Source organism: Homo sapiens, chromosome 19 (assembly GCF_000001405.40).
Source record: "Homo sapiens chromosome 19, GRCh38.p14 Primary Assembly".
In the NCBI taxonomy this organism is placed as follows: Eukaryota; Metazoa; Chordata; class Mammalia; order Primates; family Hominidae; genus Homo; species Homo sapiens.
The window spans coordinates 6,992,895-6,998,894 of NC_000019.10; the positions used below are offsets into that span (position 1 = coordinate 6,992,895).

General features: G+C 43.8%; 1 pseudogene across 2 annotated transcripts in view; it reads right to left on the minus strand.

Moving 5' to 3' along the window:
* The window catches only part of ADGRE4P (adhesion G protein-coupled receptor E4, pseudogene), a 47,094-nt pseudogene extending 42,137 nt beyond the window's left edge, over positions 1-4,957 (minus strand). For both annotated transcript variants that reach the window (NR_024075.2, NR_174976.1), the window contains exon 1: positions 4,905-4,957. The product of NR_024075.2 is annotated as an adhesion G protein-coupled receptor E4, pseudogene, transcript variant 1 (transcript). The remainder of the gene's footprint in view (positions 1-4,904) is intronic.
* Between the last annotated feature and the right edge of the window lie 1,043 nt (positions 4,958-6,000).

A 6,000-nucleotide genomic window follows, 5' to 3' on the forward strand; every position in this document is an offset into this window, starting at 1 on the left:
TACAGGCGTGAGCCACTGCGCTCAGCCGAAAATAAAACAAGATATTTTAAAAAGAGAGAAAGAAAGCAAGTGGCTGGGAAGCCGAGGCAAGGAGACTTTTCAGTTTACCCTCTTCTATCTTTTGAATCTTGAGCCAAGTGAAGATCTTTTCTGTTCAAAACATAAATCATTTCTAACAGAGAAAATAGTGGAAGTACTAGACATTACTATAAATGAGCCTTTCTTACCGTGTCGCCCAGGCTGGAGTGCAATAGCGTTATCTCTTCTCACTGCAAACTCCGCCTCCTGGGTTCAAGCAATTCTCCTGTCTCAGCCTCTCGAGTAGCTGGGATTACAGGCTCCCGCCACTACGCCTGGCTAATTTTTGTATTTTTTAAGTAGAGACAGGGTTTCACCGTGTTGGTCAGGCTGGTCTTGAACTCCTGACCTCAGGTGATCCACCCACCTGGGCCTCCGAAAGTGCTGGGATTATAGGCGTGAGCCACCAAGCCAGGCCTAAATGAGTCTTTCAAAGAAGACTTTAAGGATCATTTTAGTAAGCGTTGGCCTATGGATATCAATTTAAAATGCAGAAAGCACTCTCCTAAGGTAATGTCGGTGGCCAATTGGGGTTTAAGATAAAACCTCCAGTGCACATTAGCAAAGATATTGTGCTCTGCAGATCTGTGAAGCCTTTCAAAGGCGCTGCCAATGATGAGGGAGGCACTGATGGAGAAGATGCTTTAAGTAGTTTGCAGAAAAGTTTCACAAAATGTAAGCAGGAAGGAAAACAACAATTACGTGTAATGCAAACAATCTGATATCACATGCAAAAATAATGTTGTAGGAGGCTATTAGAACAACATAGGGCCGGGCACGGTGGGTCACACCTATAATCCCAGCACTTTGGAGGGCAGAGGCGGGCAGATCACTTGAGGTCAGGAGTTTGAGACCAGCCTGACCAACATGGTGAAACACCGTCTCTATTAAAAACACAAAATTATCCGGGCAATGTGGTGAGTGCCTGTAATCCCAGCTACTTGGGAGGCTGAGACATGAGAATCACTTGAACCTAAGAGGTGGAGGCTGCAGTGAGCTGAGATCAAACCACTGCATTCCAGCCTGGGTGACAGAGCGAGACTCTGTCTCAAAATAAATAAATAAATAAACAACCATAGAAAGTGATTATGACGTAGCATTAGGAGCAAAAGGAGGTTATATTATTCTGTCATTACACATTGTATGCATGTATCAAAATATATCATATGTAACTCATAAATATGTGCCACTATTATGTATCAATACAAAATGTAGGTTATAAAGAAAGTATATTACATGTAAGAGAATCTTAAATGTTAATAGAAGAATGTCAGTATGAGTGATTTTAAATTTCTCTTTTTTCAGCTGTAATTCTAAATTATGTACATTGCCTTAGCAATAAAAATAATATAATGAAGCGTTTTAATAAAAGAGGAAACAAAATAATAATAATAATAATAATTATTATTATTATTATTATTATTTGAGCCAGGGTCTCACTGTGTCACCCAGGCTGGAGTACAGTGGTGCAATCTTGGCTCACCGCAACCTCCACCTCCCAGGTTCAAGCAATTCTCCTGCCTCAGCCTCCCAAGCAGCTGGGATTACAGGCACTTACCATCAAACCCAGCTAATTTTTGTATTTTTAGTAGAGAACGGGTTTCACCATGTTGGCCAGGCAGGTCTCGAACTCCTGACCTCAAGTGATCCACCCACCTCATTATCCCAAAGTGTTGGGATTACAGGCGTGAGCCACCGCACCCGGCCACAAAATTACTTTAAAAACTCTTCTTGGGAGGTCTATACTCCTGCTTTGATATATTCATGCTGCTTTGATCTCTGAGTTTGGAATCTGTTGGGGCTGCCTGTGTGTTTATGTGACAGTTCTCCCTCCATGCTTCACGCACAGTTACTTGCTGGCCATACACTGTCAGATGGCTTTAGAATTTGGTGCACAGGCAAACCTGGGTTTGAATCCCAAATCTACAACTACTAGTTAAGTGGCCCTGAGGTTGTGACTTTACCTCCAAGCCTCTCGTCTGCAAAACGTAGCTAAGAAAGAGCACATATTTTACAGTTTCATGCTGATTCAGTGAGATGACCCTTCAGACCTGCCGGCACATGGTAAGTCCTGAATAAAGCTACCTGTGAAGAGAAGTGGGAAGGATGATGATGGTGGTAGTGGTGGTGGTGGTCGTGGTGGATGTGATAGTAGTGGTCATGATGGTGATGGTAGTGATGGGAGTGGAGATCATAATGATGGTGGAGGTAGTGATGAAGGTGGCAGTGGTGGTGATGGTACTGACAGTGGTTATGATGGTGGACATGATAGTAATGGTGATAGTGATGGTGGCAAAAGTGGTGGTGATGGTGATGGTGGTGACAGTGATGGTGGTGATGGTGATGGTGGTGACAGTGATGGTGGCAAGGGTGATGGTAGTAATCAGGGTGATGGTGGTGATGGTGTCAATGGTGATGGTGGTGGTAATAATGGTGATGGTAGTGATAGGAATGGTGGCAATGGTGATGGTGGTACTAATGGTGATGGTGGTAATGGTGATAGTGGTGATGGTGATGATGATGGTCTTGGTGGTGGTGATGCCAGTGGTAGTAACGGTGATGGTGGTGACGATGACGATAGTGATGGTGGTGCTGATAGTGACGGTGATGACAGTGGTGGTGATGGCAGTGATGGTAATAGCGAAGAGGGACTGCATGGTTGTGGTGATGGTGGCAAGGATGGTGGAAGTGACAGTAATGCTGATGCTGATGATGGTGATGAAAGCGGTCATGGAGATCTCTCATGTCCCTTCCCTGGTGCCAATTGTAATCACAACTTTGCATGCTAAGGACTGACCTTTTACCCAGTGGTAATGAGAATTAACGAGGGTCCTGTGAAGTCCCCACAGGAACACAGTAGTGGCCTAAGAAGACCCATCCCATGGAACCCCCTATTCCCAAGCAGGCAGCTGCACATCATGCACTGGAATCCTCTTGCAAGTCAAATTTTGCTGCAGATGCTTCTCTCACCCCTTCCATTACTGCCTCCTAAAATCACTTACGGAACTTCTACTATGGGCCAAGTGCCTTAAGAACTCTGTGGCTATTATCTTATTGAAAGCTACAACCATCTTGTGATGTAGGTTTCTTTTGAAACGGAGTCTCTCTCTGTCACCCAGTGGTGCGAGCTCAGCTCACTGCAACCTCTGCCTCCCGGGCTCAAGCAATTCTCCTGCCTCAGCCTCCCGAGTAGCTGGGACTACAGGTGTGTACCACCACGCCCGGCTAATTTTTGTATTTTTAGTAGAGACGGGGTTTCACCACGTTGGCCAGGCTGGTCTGGAACTCCTAACCTCAGGTGATCCCCCCACCTTGGTCTCCCAAAGTGCTGGGATTACACGTGTGAGGCACCGCTCCCGGCCATGATGTAGGTCTTATAATTATCTCCTAAGTCTTCAGATGAGGAAATTGAGGTTCAAAACAATGATATCATTTGCTTAAGATTGTGCTGCTAGGAAAATACAAAGCTAAGATTTGGACAATGTCAGCTTGAGTCCAAAGCCCATGCACAACCACCTCACCAAGATCATAAACTCCAGTGTCTACCAAGATCTAGACATGCGACATAAATACATAAGGCCATTGGTGGGACGTAATAAGGACTGTGGGGAACTGGAGACCAAAGGCTATCTAGAGACACCCACACCCACTTTTTCCTTAAATACAGAACCAGGAGACCAACCACTTTCAATCTCTGCAGTAGACAATACTACTTCACTGAAATCAATTTCTGTTGCGGGAATCTTGTGTCCCATTGGTGGAGTTATACTTGATTACTTTCTGGATACCTTTCCTCTTTCAAAATTTGTCTTCTTTTTAGAGTCATGTTGCTCCACCCTTCAAAAAGTCCACTCTAAAATATAACTGGAAAATTCTCAATGAAAAGAACCCCTGTCCAGGTAAGGGCATTTCTTTGCTGAGGCCTGATTTGAAACAAGTTTAACTAAAGTGAGTATTTTGAAAGGAAAAAGGTGGTAAGATTTTTCACAACAGCCGAGGCCTCTAGAGATGCTGATTTGTAGGGGACTTTCGGCCATAACCAATTGTGAGAAAAGAATTTCACATCAGAGAGAAAGAGAGGCAGACACAGAGAACTGAGCCAAGGATCACACACAAAGAAACTCACTGTTTGCAGCGACTGATATTTTATAATTATAGTTGTTTTCATTTCTGCTTGTTGCCTTGTTGGTTGTTACCCACTAAGGTGGTGCCATGGTGGTCGTTACCCACTAAAGAGGACCAGCCTCCTCCTGTGGATCATAACCAGCCGGTTGAAAAAGTTGACATGTAAATCCCTCTGCTTTGGTCATGAATAAAGGACAAAACCCTTCCACCATGATAATGATGATGACTGTGAGGCTGGCATTTAAACACATGTGCTGATGTGTACATTATGGGTGTCAGGTGTATGGAAAAGCTGTTAATTCACCCTACAGACTTAGGAAACTCGCTCATCTTTTTAGATCTTGTTTTCCTTGTTTTTCATAACACGTTCGTTATAAGCTATGTTCATCTTAGACTCTTCTTGAATCTTGATCATTCTAGTTCACCTTAAGCCCCTTTCCACACCATTGCCCCCTTCTTTGTGCGTGATAAGGCATCCCAGCAGGTTTCAGAGTATCACATAACAACACACACACTCCTTGCCCAAGCAGAAGTGGAAAAATGAATGTGAGATAGAAGCCGACATAGCAGCTTTCAAGAAATAAAGTAACCGGACATGTAATGAGGCCTCCTTGAAAATGTTTCCAGAACCAGAATATTTTTCTTAGATTCATGATCACAAGTAAAATATTTCCTATTTTCTATAGGAAGATACTACTTACCCTAAAGATGAAAAGTCCTTGCCTCTCACTGAGTCTGGTAGCTTTTCAGAACTGACAGAAGAGGAAGTACGTCGCTCTTTATCTTGAGCTCCGGTTTCTCAAGGAGTCTTGTGGGTGGACACGGAGGCTGCGTTGTTGTTTGGGGAGTTTGCATAATGCAGGGTCTATTAGTTCTCTTTCCACTGCCGTAATTTAAGTGGTACATTATCATGGTGGACCATATCAAAGTGCCTCAGAAAATGAATGGGGAAATGGTGATGGTGATCAGTGGGAAATGGAGAGGGATAATGGAGAGTGAAGCCAACTTCCAAGGATATGGGTTCAACTTCAAAGAGGTCTTTTTAATTTAATTTTCACTACCAGAGTTGAAGGCCAGAGTGTGGGAAGGAGTCAGCATATCTTTGTATTGCTTCATTTCCTATTCCAGTTGACCAACTTGGGAAAATGACTCATCCATATTCTTGGTTTTTGGGATGGTACCATTGAAGAGAATTACACTGATAGACTTGGCTGATAAGATTTTCAACGGTTTCATTAGGGTGGTATTCTGAAATTGTTGTCTCATTTGTATTAGAAGAATCTTCGTGGCCGGGCGCGGTGACTCACGCCTGTAATCCCAGCCCTTTGGGAGGCCGAGGCGGGCAGATCACGAGGTCAGGAGATCGAGACCATCCTGGCTAACGCGGTGAAACCCCATCTCTACTAAAAATACAAAAAATTAGCCGGGCATGGTGGCGGGCGCCTGTAGTCCCAGCTACTCAGGAGGCTGAGGCAGGAGAATGGCGTGAACCCGGGAGGCGGCGGAGCTTGCAGTGAGCGGAGATTGCGCCACTGCACTCTAGGCTGGGCGACAGAGCGAGATTCTATCTCAAAAAAAAAAAAAAAAAAAAAGAAGAAGAATCTTCGTAAGATCCAGCATGAATATGGCAAATATGCCCTAATTTGGCAAGTCCAAATACACATCAAGCAATTTACTTCTTGTCTTGATTTTATTACATATATGAAACGTGGTCTTATTATCCCTAACGTTAACACCTTCATCTTTCTGTTTTCCATTTATTTTTATAAATTCATGAGTAAATGCAATAAATTATGC